The sequence below is a fragment of the Homo sapiens genome, chromosome 20, assembly GCF_000001405.40.
Source record: "Homo sapiens chromosome 20, GRCh38.p14 Primary Assembly".
NCBI classification, from domain to species: Eukaryota; Metazoa; Chordata; class Mammalia; order Primates; family Hominidae; genus Homo; species Homo sapiens.
In genome coordinates, this window is record NC_000020.11 from 31,336,825 (window position 1) to 31,352,967 (window position 16,143).

Sequence of the window (16,143 nt, forward strand, 5' to 3'; positions counted from 1 at the left end):
ACATAGTGTTGGAAGTTCTGGCCAGGGCAATTAGGCAGAAGAAGGAAATAAAGGGTATTCAATTAGGAAAAGAAGAAGTCAAATTGTCCCTGTTTGCAGATGACATGATTGTATATCTAGAAAACCCCATTGTCTCAGCCCAAAATCTCCTTAAGCTGATAAGCAACTTCAGCAAAGTCTCAGGATACAAAATCAATGTACAAAAATCACAAGCATTCTTATAAACCAATTAACAGACAAACAGAGAGCCAAATCATGAGTGAACTCCCATTCACAATTGCTTCAAAGAGAATACAATACCTAGGAATCCAACTTACAAGGGATGTGAAGGACCTCTTCAAGGAGAACTACAAACCACTGCTCAAGGAAATAAAAGAGGATACAAATAAATGGAAGAACATTCCATGCTCATGGGTAGGAAGAATCAATATCATGAAAATGGCCATACTGTCCGAGGTAATTTATAGATTCAATGCCATCCCCATCAAACTACCAATGACTTTCATCACAGAATTGGAAAAAACTACTTTAAAGTTCATATGGAACCAATAAAGAGCCCGCATCGCCAAGTCAATCCTAAGCCAAAAGAACAAAGCTGGAGGCATCATGCTACCTGACTTCAAACTATACTACAAGGCTACAGTAACCAAAACAGCATGGTACTGGTATCAAAACAGAGATATAGATCAATGGAACAGAACAGAGCCCTCAGAAATAACGCTGCGTATCTACAACTATCTGATCTTTGACAAACCTGAGAAAAACAAGCAATGGGGAAAGGATTCCCTATCTAATAAATGGTGCTGGGAAAACTGGCTAGCCATATGTAGAAAGCTGAAACTGGATCCCTTCCTTACACCTTATACAAAAATTAATTCAAGACGGATTAAAGACTTAAACGTTAGATCTAAAACCATAAAAACCCTAGAAGAAAACCTAGGAATTACCATTCAGGACATAGGCATGGGCAAGGACTTCATGACTAAAACACCAAAAGCAATGGCAACAAAAGACAAAATTGACAAATGGGATCTAATTAAACTAAAGAGCTTCTGCACAGCAAAAGAAACTACCATCAGAGTGAACAGGCAACCTACAAAATGGGAGAAAATTTTCACAACCTACTTATCTGACAAAGGGCTAATATCCAGAATCTACAATGAACACAAACAAATTTACAAGGAAAAAACGAACAACCCCATCAAAAAGTGGGTGAAGGACATGAACAGACACTTCTCAAAAGAAGACATTTATGCAGCCAAAAAACACATGAAAACATGCTCACCATCACTGGCCATCAGAGAAAAGCAAATCAAAACCACAATAAGATACCATCTCACACCAGTTAGAATGGCAATCATTAAAAAGTCAGGAAACAACAGGTGCTGGAGAGGATGTGGACAAATAGGAACACTTTTACACTGTTGGTGGGACTGTAAACTAGTTCAACCATTGTGGAAGTCAGTGTGGCGATTCCTCAGGGATCTAGAACTAGAAATACCATTTGACCCGGCCATCCCATTACTGGGTATATACCCAAAGGACTTAAATCATGCTGCTATAAAGACACATGCACATGTATGTTTATTGCGGCACTATTCACAATAGCAAAGACTTGGAACCAACCCAAATGTCCAACAATGATAGACTGGTTTAAGAAAATGTGGCACATATACACCATGGAATACTATGCAGCCATAAAAAATGATGAGTTCATGTCCTTTGTAGGGACATGGATGAAATTGGAAATCATCATTCTCAGTAAACTATCGCAAGAACAAAAAACCAAACACCGCATATTCTCACTCATAGGTGGGAATTGAACAATGAGAACACATGGACACAGGAAGGGGAACATCACACTCTGGGGACTGTTGTGGGGTGGGGGGAGGGGGGAGGGATAGCTTTAGGAGATATACCTAATGCTAAATGACGAGTTAATGGGTTCAGCACACCAGCATGGCACATGTATACATATGTAATTAACCTGCACATTGTGCACATGTACCCTAAAACTTAAAGTATAATAATAATAAAATAAAAAAAAACAAGATGTTGTTAAATATGTGAGGAACACATTTCCTTACAGTGGGAGGCAGATACCTCAGGGCTGGACACCATGTTTGAAGTTGGCTCTTGGTGGGGCCCTTTCCAGAGAGGTTTGAGCAAATATCCACTGACTAAACTTGATATGAAATCCATTGCCAAGCTTATTCAACGACATGCCATTCTGGATCAATTAGAGGGCTTCTTGTGAAGAAGCATTGGCACACTTCCTGAGTGCCTTGCAATAATCTAGCTCAAGATTACCTAACACAATTCTTCTTCTCCCATGATTGGTCCCTGAAGAGGTAGCAGAGCTTTAACCATTAATATTTCACAGTGAAGGCTGTGAAGGCATTGTTTTGTACAGTGTGGCCCAAATACCATCAAGAGGCAAGGTATATACAAGTCCTTCTGCAGACAGTCATTGCATACATATTTACACGTGGGCATGGTTCTGCCCTTCCTAACAACATGCACAGAATCATTGAAATATATTTATCTAGACCACATTTCACACATATAAAAATCTATCTAAATAGTTACAATAGGCCTCCAAATGGAAGTATAAGCTACTTTCTTTACCTGAACACCATAAAATGAAATCTCTTTTACAATATTGTAGAGTAATTCTGAAAGACTCTAAAGCATACTAATCGAGGCTAATTATTACTAAAATGCTGTCTTTCTTTCTGTATGTGTGTCGTGCCAGAGATTACATAAGCAAAGTAAGACAGCAAATATTTGGTGCAAAAGAGCAGCTACTTGTGAAGGCCAACGCTAGTCTGCATGCAAGAGATGCCTGTCACTCTCTGAAGGTCTAAATTTGAGTCCTGATATTGGACAAGGGGAATATCTGTGAGCACTACCAGTTGAACACAGGAGCATAGGTACATGAGATCAAGAGAAGGTCACCATCTAGCCTGGGTGAATAACTGAAGTTTTGGTACCTTATAATCAACACTGTAGATGTTAAAAGAAGGATCATTAGAAATTTTAGCTACTCCAGAGGCAAGGGAATTGTTATTCTTTTTATAATTGTCTACATTATAAAATGCACTTAAGGTTAAGTGCATAATGAGAGTCAAAGCTCTTTTGAGATATGAAAAAACACAATTTCTCAAGGGTAAAATGTTGACTACCTGTACAAAGTATACAGAAAGCAAAGAAGTATTTGCTACGGCATATTGAGAACATAGTATATATCTTAAGTTTAACTTTCTTTTCTCTGATCTATCAATCTTTTCTCCTCTATTTAGTTCAAATTTATTGTTTTCATTAGCTTCAATAGATCTTGATATGTACATATGTGTATATATACAATATATTTTTAAACAAACTAATGAAATTTTTGATTTATATTTTTGTTAAAATGTAAAACTAGGATTTATATTTAGTTTAAATATGAGACTAAATATTAGACTAAATTAGACTCAATATAAACGTTACACCACCCACTGAATGGATTTGTAGTTTGACGGTTCCTTTTAAGCACCTTCTTAAAAGGAAAAGATGAGAGTTCCATCTTTTTTCTTCTTTAAAATCATTCTGCCCCAGTCTTCACTTATCATCACATGCACTTTACTCCACCAAACATCATTTCTCAAAATCAATCTATTTGAATAATCATTAAGCCCGTTTAGAGCTTTCCCAGTCTTAAAATTTGTCATCACACACAACGTGTGTGATGTCATGTGTGACTACACATCCCAAGGCCTTTCTCACTTTTTCTGGTTAATACAGAATGTCCCATAAAGAAAGAATAAAAGGTCAGGTGCAGTGGGTCATGCCTGTAACTCCAGCACTTTGGGAGTCCAAGGCGGGTGGATCACTTGAGACCAGGAGTTCGAGACCAGCCTGGCCAACATGGTAAAACCCCATCTCTACTGAAAATACAAAAATTGGATGAGCATGGTGATGTGCGCCTGTAGTCCCAGCTACTCAGGTGGCTGAGGCATAAGCATCACTTGAACCCCGGAGGCAGAGGCTGCAGTGAGCTGAGATCGCACCACCGCACTCCAGCCTGGGCAACAGGGCGAGACTCTGTCTCAAAAAAAAACAGAAACAAAAAACAATAAAAGTTGTATATTTCTTTAAAATGAAAGATCAGTAACTTCAATGGCTATTATATTAACCACTTAGTAAAGGTACAACAAAAACTACACATCCTTATGTTAACTAACTGAAATTATAATAAATTAGTTAAGCTACTTTTGTCACTTAATGTTTGCAAGGGTACTCAAGAAATCAAAATGGCTTCCCATTGCTTGACATTTGCTTTCCAAATACTTCACATTTCAACCCTATATCCCTACAAAGAGAAATAATTCAACATACTTTCCTTACCTAAAAATACTACAGGAGGCTAAAAGGCATTTAGAATTTTTTAGACCTTGAAGAATAATGTTACACTTCCAACATGTATTTAACTTATAAATCAGTTTCTATTCTGTTGCATAGCTTCAGTCTAAGTACATCATAGTTATATTAACTCCGTATTGCTTCATCTTGTCAAGTCAGACAAAGATTCTGTTGCATCAAGGCTCTTATTCAAGATGTCTTCTTCGTTTGAATTAGGTAGAAGTTCTCCAAAACTACATGGTATTGTGGTCAATCTTTGTTCCACTGGAGGAAACTTAATTAGTGGTGAAAGAGACTTTTCTTTCACCAAGGGACATGTGTAAATGTGGTTTTGCATATTCAATGTGCACATCATGAGTGTCCAAATAGTTAAGCATATCATCTGTTTGCACATTTTGGGGAGTAGGGCTCAATTCTGGTTTGTGTCTTTCAAGTGTTTCAAGATTAGACAGGTAAAATTCTTCCCTTTTCTTGGAAAAAGATTTCTTCAGAGCCTCATATCTACTGCAAACAGCCTATAGATTGAAGTCTGATTCTGGAGTAGTTTGTCCATCTACCATAATATCTCCTAGAAAAATGCCACTGTCCACAGGACTATTTGGCTCTAGTTTAAACTGGACTCTAAGCTACTGGAACTTTTAACACTTAGGGGACCACCTTCCTCCGGAAAAGTTTCATGCCAAATGTAAATATGCTAAAATCAATATCCTTACAACTCTTAGAACTAATTCCGCTTGATATCTGAAAAGAGTTCCATAATGTAGTGTTATTCATGGAAGGTTTGTTACAGGAATCCTGTGAATGGTCCAATATTTTCATATACTCCTCTTTACTGCTACCCAGCTCATCTATCCCATTGCTGATGGCAGGGGAGAATGTCTTCTTGGCTAGTTTCTGAAAGCTTGGTTGGTAAAGCTGTACATTCCAAATCTTGCTTGCAAATTATTATTATTTTTTTTTTTTTGAGACACAGTCTGGCTCTGTCACCCAGGCTGGAGTGCAGTGGCATGATCTTGGCTTACGGCAAGCTCCGCCTCCTGGGTTCATGCCATTCTCCTGCCTCAACAGGCGCCCACCACCATGCCCTGCTAATTTTTTGTATTTTTAGTAGAGACAGGGTTTGACCGTGTTAGCCAGGATGGTCTCTATCTCCTGACCTCGTGATCCGCCCGCCTCGGCCTCCCAGAGTGCTGGGATTACAGGCGTGAGCCACCTTGCTGGGCGCAAATTATTTTCTTACTCAACAAATCAGACTGATTTTGTATTGGTGGTTCACCCATATGATTGATCACCATGTATTTCTGAGGCACACACTTGCAGTCTCATTTCAGTCAAATGAGACTGGCCGAAATCTCATACAGTGGTTTAAGAGAAAACCGACTATGCTAAATCCTCTTTGATTACACAAATCAGGTAATGATCCCAGCAATACTTCTCTGTGCTCAGTATCCGTTTGAATTGGTTCTGTAGTTCTGTTTTCTTCCATTTCAATAGTTTTTCTCCATGAGCTCCTAATTTCCATTGTCAAGTTTTATGGGTATGGGAAATCTGGTTCCTTGTTCAGAAGAGGTTAGAACCTAGAGAGTCAATTAGTTCCCCTAAATTTACTTATTTTCTCTCACAGAGCTGTGGTGAACCAAATAAAACTGCTCCAACAACCCCTTCTAGCAGATGATCTTGCTTTTTTTTGGAACTGACCACTTTTTTTTAGCTGGCAGAGACCCTCCAAATGCACTACTCTCTGTTCTTTGCGACATCTGATAATGGAGAATCTTCCACTTCAAAATCTGGTATTTTCTTAGAAATTGTTTTATTTTTCTCTTTGGGAGTTCTCATCTTCCTGTCCTTTTCAAGTGGTGTAGCATTGTTTCTATCTGATGATGAAGCTGACTGCAACAAGAAAGAGGCAGGGCTGTTGGCTAGATCATGTACAGCTCCCAAGGTATCATTGTCTCCTCTGCAACCATTTTCTTGGTGATGTTGCTCAGGTGTACCTAAGGCCAAAATCTGATACAGTGGTTTCTAACAGAAACCAGACAACGATAAATTCTCTTTGATTAAGCAACACAGGTAATGATTCTGGCAATATCAGTGAAGCAGGATACTGAAAAAGAATACTCTTTGCGTGCACTTCTGAGGGAAGACCAAATGAAAGGGGAGACATAGGTGGTAAAAGATCCACAACTGGGCCGGGCGCGGTGGCTCACGCCTGTAATCCCAGCACTTTGGGAGGCCGAGGCGGGCGGATCACGAGGTCAGGAGATCGAGACCATCCTGGCTAACACGGTGAAACCCCGTCTCTACTAAAAATACAAAAAATTAGCCGGGCGTGGTAGCGGGCGCCTGTAGTCCCAGCTACTCGGGAGGCTGAGGCAGGAGAATGGCGTGAACCCGGGAGGCGGAGCTTGCAGTGAGCCGAGATCGCGCCACTGCACTCCAGCCTGGGCGACAGAGCGAGACTCCGTCTCAAAAAAAAAAAAAGATCCACAACTGGAGTTCAACTTTTAATTAGAGTGAAGGAAGACAGACCAAGAAATTCTTTCCACTTCCTATGCCATTCCCCTTGCTTTTCAACAATAGAATGTCTTATAGTTGTGAGATCTTTTTATTCTATAGCTTATATGCTTCAGATCTGATTATCTTTCCCTCTAAAATTTGGTATCTTTTTCCAGGTAGTGAAGGTCTATTGTCAATCGTGCTTGGTCAGCCTGACTTTCCTATTTCATTACTTTCAAGGCTTCATTATATAACAGAATAACTTAAGAGTTTCCATTTTCCAGACTCATAAACATTTCCTATGTGCAACTGACACATCTGTCTCTCAATTTTGTCAAGAGTCAACTAATAGCATTAGTTCCATCTAAAGCATATCGGTTAGACTAAGGACTGAACTAACAACTTCTCTTTTTCCAGAAACATGAGTGTTTCATTCACTGATGTTCACAAAGGCCCAACCTTTTGAGTTTTTTCTTCTATACTACTTTGGTCACCCATAGGGTTCCATTTTTTTAAATTTGGTTTTGCAGTTCTATACATCTAGATCTCAAATTTCAGACATACTTAACTAATAATTGTACATTTTCCTGAGATTTTGGGGTAATACAATCTGCTCTTTGCAAAATTTGTAAACATTTGTTACGTGCTAAATGGCATCTGGCATTGCGCTTGTGCAAACTTTGTGATTTCACATTAAATGTCTGCAAAACATAAAGAATTTTTAGAATTGGTTTTCATATATTTTATTACAACAAATCTCGCAAGATGTTACATCAGATGAGTAAACAGAACCGCTAGGAGAAATAAATAGTGAACAACAATTTGAGGAAAGCTTCCACATTCAGCAGAAATCCTTGTTAACCATTCACAGCAATGTTTCCTGAATATCGTATCACTTTCTTGGTCAAATGGTGGCCAACAAAATTTAAAAACTTCTTTGGTGAGAGACTGGTCCAGCATTTGAAACAAAAAATAAGAAACTATATGAAAGCCATCACGGTTCAGCTTATCAAACATGTTCACTCCAAGGTGCTTATTTGACACCCTTTGCAGGCCATGGTCAAACCCGGGCCTGGCTCAAAGCTGAGCACCTGCCGATACATTCAGAGATGCTTGTTCTGGAAAGAGGTGATCCAGGCCAAGGTCATCCTCATGATAGGCACGGTGACTGCAAAGAAAAAAAGCACAAGCCCTAGCGACTCTTGGGTCCTCAGGATCCCTCCCTATGGGCAGCCTGAGGTCTCAGAGGTCCCTTCTTTGCCACTGCCTGCATCTCTCTCGCTGGAGCCATTTCACCTCAAAGGGCTGTACAGTCTCCAGAAAATGGAGCCTGTCATGGGAATGTGGCCGCAGCTGCCTACTCGAAGCCTACAATATGTTCTTAACTAAACAGTAATTAAAGGACAATGTAATTTAAGCTTAAAAGTTCTAATGTTTAAAACATAAGCACCTTGTCAAGCACATTTTTGGACAATGTATATAATCCGTTGGTATAAACTACCTTCATTTGGGTAATCTGAAGAACAAATTAATTTATATCCATGAGAATAAATAGATTTTTTTTTAAAATGAAGATAATATGGTAACGATAGACTTCACTTTCTGCATCTCTCCAAATTTTATTTAAAAGTGTCAAGATAAATAAAGATTTACAAGTGCCATAATATTAAATTGTTCTAAAGCTCCTAAATGATGGATTTTAGAAAACATAAGTTAATTTTAAAGGATAATGAAATCACAGCTTATAACAACAATTTTACAGGGAAACAAGAACATTATAAAACTAGGCCCAGCTGGTTTAACTGATGAATAAACTCTACATAAATAGAATACTGTCTGAAGTTTATAAGAACCAAATTTATATGCACTACATGTTTAAATTGTGGCTCAATTTAATTGAAGACCTATGTTTTTATTTATATATTTAAATATTATAATTAATAAAAACATCTGATTTACAAATTAAGTGTAAGGAATGTAGGTATTTAACTGTTTTGTAAAATAATAAATAGATTAAAAGTCTTAAATAGACTAAAAATCTCATGTTTGTATTTTTATTTCCCACTGAGGCAAATTCAGAGAGAACAAATATAGACTTCTTTTAACCCAAACTTTATCAAAAAATAAAAATGTTTCCCCTGCTTGGGAGTATTAATGGGAACTGGATATAACTATAAAATCTCTCCCTCAACTAAATAATATTAAAAGCTTTGTGGAAGGATTTTATAATCCTTTTTATGATTACTCATTAAGCCTAAAGTTAATTTGCATATCTTTTATTCCCCATATTGTACGTGGAAGGAACATTAAGGTCATTTAACTAAAATTAGATTTTGCCTTTTCTCATCCAAAAACATTTTTAAGTGAAAGTATTTATATCAGAAAACAAGAACACCATTAAAATTATTTTTAAGATCTTTGTGATTTTGACAGAGTTCTTTATACATTTTTTATTTATATATTTTATGTTATTCCTGAGTATAATATTCCTTTTGACCAAAAGGTTTTAAACAATTCAGTACTTCAATTTCTTCATTTGCAAATAATCTTTTCAAGTACAAACCTATTATAAGATTCAGTCCTCCAAAGATGTATTTCTTTAATTTTCTTAATGTATTTGCACACCTTACAAGGTTTAATTGATGGCTCAACTCCTCAAGCACTTGCCACTTTCTCCCAGGCTGGAGTTTTTTTATTGAAGTGCTAACAAATTTAAGGCACTTGGAATTTGGGTTTGATTTAAAATTGTTTTCCCTGAAAGTTAATAAAACCTTTACACCCTTTCCAATAACCTCCATAGACAGGCTCACCTATCTAATGTAGAGATACCTTTTAAAGGAAACCTCTTTCTCTCCTCAGTCATATCACATCCACACCAACATTCAAGGGTCACACGGCTTCTGCAACTGTCAGCTATTTAGGCAGCATCAGAAAGCATCAGAAAAATGGACATGTTGGTAGGATTAGAGAAACCTCTTGGATTCTCACTCCCTGTTTCTCAATTTGCATGGGCTCACACATAGGAAAAAGTCTCACAATTGTGCCCACCCTGCCCCACCCCCTACCCCCCTACACCTCCCGGGCCCAGGAACTGAATCAGCACAAGAAGACATCTTCCACTCCCTGTGATTTCATCTCTGACCTGACGACCAATCAGCACTCCTGACTCACTGGTTTCCCCCCACCCACCAAGTTGTCCTTAAAAATTCTGATCCCCAAATGCTGGGGAGACTGATTTGAGTAATAAAAAAAATCTGGTCTCCCACAAAAAAAAAAAAAAAAGTCTCACAATCAAAAAACAGAAGAAACTATAGATTTTTGGTCCATCTGTAAATTGCATAGCAACCCCTTAACTTCCAAAGAAAAGGATGAAAAATGAAATTCTATTAAGAAAAGAAAACACTTACCCAGCTGCTTTGAGCATCCTGTGAATTAAAACTTGAACTCGCCGGGCACAGTGGCTCATGCCTGTAATCCCAGCACTTTGAGAGGCCAAGGCAGGTGGATCACCTGAGGTCAGGAGTTCGAAACCAGCCTGACCAACATGACGAACCTTGTCTCTACTAAAAATACAAAAATTAGCCAGACGTGGTGGCGGGCACCTCTAATTCCAGCTATTTGGGGGGCTGAGGCAGGAGAATCACTTGAACCGGGGAGGTGGAGCTTGCAGTGAGCCAAGATCGTGGCATTGCACTCCATAGCCCAGGTGACAAGAGCAAAACTCCATCTCAAAAAAAAAAAAAAAAAAAAGAAAGAAAGAAAACTTGACCTCCAGGGAGCAGCAGTTCTCCAACACTGAAGACAAGCAATACTCCAAGTTAAAGGTTTTTGTCTCTGGGATCTTTTGTACACCAATCCTGTTCCCAAACAGTCAAGGCACAACCTCACTCATTTGCCCAGAAGCAGATTAAATCTACACTAATTAACAATGAGAGGAGGTGGAGCAATATGGGTGAATAGAACCCTCCAACAATTGTTCCCCCCACAACCCAGCCCACTCACAGGAACACCAAATTGAACAACTAACCATGCAAGAAACTACTTTCATAAGAACCAAAAATCAAGTGAGTGATCACAGTACCTGGTTTTAACATCATATCAAGGAAAGAGGCACTGAAGAGGGTAGGAAAAACAGCCTTGAATTACTGACACCACTCCTCTCCCATCCCTTGGTAGCAGCTGCATGGTGCAGAGAGTGTGCTTGGGGGAAAGGGGGTGCAGTGATTGTGGGACTTTGCATTGGAACTCAGTGCAGCAGAAAGCGACATGAAGTGGGATTCAGATGGCACCCATGGAGGGAGCATTTGGACCACCCCTAGCCAGAGGCAAATCACCCATCCCAACAGTCAGAACCTGAGTTCCACCTAGCCCCACCACCACAGGCTAAAGCACTCTGGTGTCCTAAATAAGCTTGAAAGGCAGTCTAGACCACAAGGACTGCAATTCCTGGCTAGGTCCTGGTGCTGTGCTGGGCTCAGAGCCAGTGGACTTGGGAGGCATGCGACCTAGGGAGACACCAGCTGAGGTAGCCAAGGGAGTGCTCACATCACTCTTCCAACCCCAGGCAGTGCAGCTCTGAGAGAGACTTCTTTCTGCATGAGGCAAGAAGAGGGGAGAGTAAAGGGGACTTTGTCTTGTAACTTGGATACAAGCTCAACCACATTAGAACAGAGCACCAAGCAAAGTTCCCAGGCCCCCATTCTAGGACCTAGCTCCTGGACGACATTTCTAAACACACTTTGGGCCAGAAGAGAATCCACTGCCTTAAAGGGAAAGTCCTGACAAGTCTTTGTCAGTCCTGACAAGATTAATTACCTGCCAAATAAAGAGCCCTTGGGCCTTGAATAAACATCACGGGTACCCAGGAAGTACTCGCCGCAGGCCTTGCATGAGACCCAGGGCTGTACTGGCTTCAGGTATGACCCAGCATATTCCAGCCATGGTGGCCATGGGGAGGGACTCCTTCTGCTTGAGGGAAAAGAGAGGGAAGAGTAAAGGGGACTTTGTCTTTCAGCTTGGGCACCAGCTCAGCCACAGTGGGGTGGAGTACCAAGCGGGCTCCTGGGGCCCCTGATTCCAGGCCTTGGATTCTGGGCAGCATTTCTAGTCCCACCTTGGGCCAGAGGGAAGCTCACTGCCCTGAAGGGAGAGATCCAGGCCTGGCAGCATTCACCACAAGCTGACTGAAGAGCACTTGCGCTTTGCGTGAACATCAGCAGTAGCCAGGCACTACTTGCCATGGCCCTGGGACAGTGTTGGCCATGGGAAGACCCTCCTTCTGCGTGAGGAAAGGAGGGAAGAGTGGGAAGGAGTTTGTCTTGTGGCTTGGGTGCCAGCTCAGCTGCAGTAGAGCACAGCACCAAGAAGATTCCCAACTCCATGCCCTGGTTCCCAAGTGGCATTTCTGAACCTGCCCTGGGGCAGAGGGGAGCTCACTGCCCTGAAGGAAAGGACACAAGCCTGGCTGGATTTGCCATTTGCTGACAGAAAAGCCCTTGGGCCTTAAGTAAACGTCAGCAGTAGCAAGGCCATGGGCACCACAGGCCTTGAGTGAGACCCAGTGCTGTGCCGGCTTCACGTCTGACCCAGCATAGTCCCAGTAGTGGTAATCACAGGAGTGTCTGTGTCACCCCTTCCCCAGCTCCAGGCAGTTCACCACAGAGAGAGAGACTCTGTTTCGTTGGGGGATAGTAAGGGAAGAGAACAAGAGGCTCTGCCTGGTATTCCAAGGAATTCTTCTAGCTCTTATCCAAGTGAAAGTTAGTATGAAAAGGCTACATAATTATATGTGATTTGGAAAAGGCAAAGGCTATAGAGCAGTAAAAAGACCAGGGGTTTCCAGGAACTTGGGGGGAGGAAGGAGGGTGAGATGAAGGAAATTTAGGGGATGGTAAAACCATATTGTATGACACTGTCATGGTGAATACATGACATTATGCATTATGAAAACCCATAGAACTTTATAGCCCAAAGTATGCAAAGTAGTTATGCACATTTTAAAAACTGTTTAGGAGGTCAGGGAGTCCCAGGATAGAAGGCAGACCATGACAAAAGACTCTTACTGGGTTACAAATGTGAGAAGTAATCACACTGAAAGGAGTTGGGAGGGTAAGAGCTGACCTGACTAACTTGGGAAATGAACAGGGTCTCTAAGACTAAAGGCAAAAAGGACTGCACATAAGCATCATATACTAGTTAGTAAAGTTACTTTCCCTGGGGATGTGAGTTAACATACACATGTATATTTCTTTGTCCTGTCAGCTTAGAGAGTCTAGAAGCAATGACACCCCTGTAGCAATAGGAATATCTAGTGTCCAGAACTTGGTTTCTAATAGCATTCTCTAGTAAAAGAAACAGGCTTCCTTGGAGAAATGACTGACTCTAGCACTTGGGCAAGAAATATACAAGATGAGCCTGAAGAAGAATTTTAATCTAAGGGAACATGTGGCACCATGACAAAGCTGTGTGTTAGGCACTGAGGAAGGAGCTGAGGTATGAATGAAACCCTTTCCCTGAAGGCAATGGGAATTCATTCATGAAGAAGGGAGATAGACCTGTTTAAAGAGAGTAGCCATGTTTCTGTTCCGCAAACTCACTGAGGTCATTTCCACCTCATGGTCTTGGTTCTTGAGATTTTCACTCCCTGAAAGTCACTTTTTCTGGATTTTCCTGTGGACAGGAACTGTGAGATCTTCTACCAAGAACCAACACCAACTCGTCAACCATGAGGAAGAGAACCTGCAGCTCTAGTTGAGCCTTCAGAGGACTAACATCTAACTGCAACCTCATAAGAGACCCACAGCCGAAAGTACCCTGCCAAGCCACTCCTGAATTCCAGACTCACAGAAACTGTTAGAGATAATGGATTTATATTATCATTTTAAGCCACTAAGATATTGGGGTTGATTATAATACAGCAATAGATAATTAAATGTTTGTCATGCCCCAGGTATCAGCAGCCTCAGCATGGTAAGACTAAAGGAGGAGGTGCTCCCTGGCTGTTCACTCCCATAACTTTGATAGAGGAATTGGGCTATGGGGGAGTAATCTTTAGCATCTGCACACAAGACAGAGGTGGACTCAACATCAATACCCTTTTGCTTAGGAACTTATGCTTGGGAACTCATCTTTGCCTTCATAATCTAACAAACAAAACAATAGTATCTTTGGTCATATATTGAGCCTTTAATGTGATGAATCCTCACAATAAGGTAGATATTTTTATCTTTCTTTTCCAGAATGGTGGCTCATCCAAGAAAAAAAATTGACACAATGTTATACAATGGTTAAATGACAGCTACTCTTGACTCTTCAGAGGCCAGACCAGGACAATAAGCAGAGAAGGGAATTATGTCTAGAGGGGAAAGGAATCCAATAGAGAGCAAGAAGTTGAAAATACAAGGGGATGAGAAGTGATTAATGGAACAAAGACCCAGAGGAAGCAACAGATAATGGTGTCAAGAGGCTCAGGGGAAATATTGCCTTGGACAAAGAGAGGATAGTCTCTTTTAAAGAAGATGAGTGTTTTGCAGAAAGTATATCATAATGGTTAAGACCAAAAACTCTGATGTCAGACAGACTTGGATCTGAATGCTGGCTCTGTCACTTATTAATGAAGGGGCAGTTGTGGTCATTCACCTGTTTAGATGCCCAAAATCTGCACTGACTTATCGTCAGGTAATTCCTTGTCATATGAGACAAAGTGAAAGAGCACATCTTCTCTGAAGACAGGAAGGCCACAATTTTGCTTCTAGGGTAAAGGCATGTGACCCCCAGTTTATTCTGCTCAAGATCCTAACTCCAGGATTAAGTCACCCACCATGGCCCATGTGTCCTCACCAATGGTTATGGAGTTATGATCCTGTGGTTGGCAGCCTCACCAAGAGGCAGTTCCCCACAGGGTCATGAAGTACAGACAAAAGCAGTTTATTTCTACTACATCCTCTTTCAAGAGAAACTAATAGAAGAATCAGATGAAAATTTAAATTTTTAACATAACACAGACTTTCCAGGAAATAGAAATAAAGCATAAAAAAGCACATAACTTAAAGCATTTTGGTCAGTTTAAAATTGTATTAAAAGAAATAAAGGATGGTCCAGAAGTAACAAATTGGTGGTCTAAAAGATGAAATGGAAGAGATATTTCACAATGGAAAACAAAATACAATGAAATGAAAATTGTTTATTTGCGGCATTATTCACAATAGCAAAGACTTGGAACCAACCCAAATGTCCAACAATGATAGACTGGATTAAGAAAATGTGGCACATATACACCATGGAATACTATGCAGCCATAAAAAATGATGAGTTTATGTCCTTTGTAGGGACACGGATGAAATTGGAAATCATCATTCTCAGTAAACTATCGCAAGAACAAAAAACCAAACACCACATATTCTCACTCATAGGTGGGACAATGAGATCACATGGACACAGGAAGGGGAACACTCTGAGGACTGTGGTGGGGTGGGGGGAGGGGGGAGGGATAGCATTGGGAGCTATACCTAATGCTAGATGACGAGTTGGTGGGTGCAGCGCACCAGCATGGCACATGTATACATATGTAACTAACCTGCACAATGTGCACATGTACCCTAAAACTTAAAGTATAATTTAAAAAAAAAATTGAAAAAAAAAAAAAGAAAATTGTTAGCTGGGGTAATGCTTCCTGCACATTCCTCATGCTTTCATGAAAAAACCTGCTACACTCTCAAAGAGGGAAAAGTATTTTAAAGAACACTTTCATGCCACCTCTATAAATAATAAGCTCAAGAATTAGAAAGAAAAAAGTAGAAGTTACAATTAGAAACATAATAGAAGCAAATTTCTCAGAACTGAAGGAAAACATGAGTTTTTAGATTGAGAGGATTCACCAAGTCCCAGGGATATCCATGAGAAAAAGCACATTATCTAGAAACAAATTTTTTTTTAAATTATATTTCCAGGATAAAAAGGCAGTGTCAGAAGCTTCTAGGCAAAAGATACAAGATACCAACAAAGGAAAGAGAATCAAACTAACATCAGACTTTTCATCTGCAATTCTGGAAGAAACACAGTACAGTGGCCAACCACAATGGCTCATGCCTGTAATTCCAACACTTTAGGAGGTCAAGGCAGGAGGATTGCTTGAGGCCAGGAGTTCAAGACCAGCCTTGGCAACATAGAATTGTATGCACCATAAAATAAAGCAACAAAATAAGTATGTAATGTAAAAACTACTAAAAATATAAGAACTTGTTT

At 40.2% G+C, this 16,143-nt stretch overlaps 1 pseudogene; it reads right to left on the minus strand.

Annotated features, from left to right (window-relative positions):
* Positions 1-4,349: 4,349 nt before the first annotated feature.
* On the minus strand, positions 4,350-8,229 carry HAUS6P2 (HAUS augmin like complex subunit 6 pseudogene 2; annotated as a pseudogene).
* Positions 8,230-16,143: the final 7,914 nt, after the last annotated feature.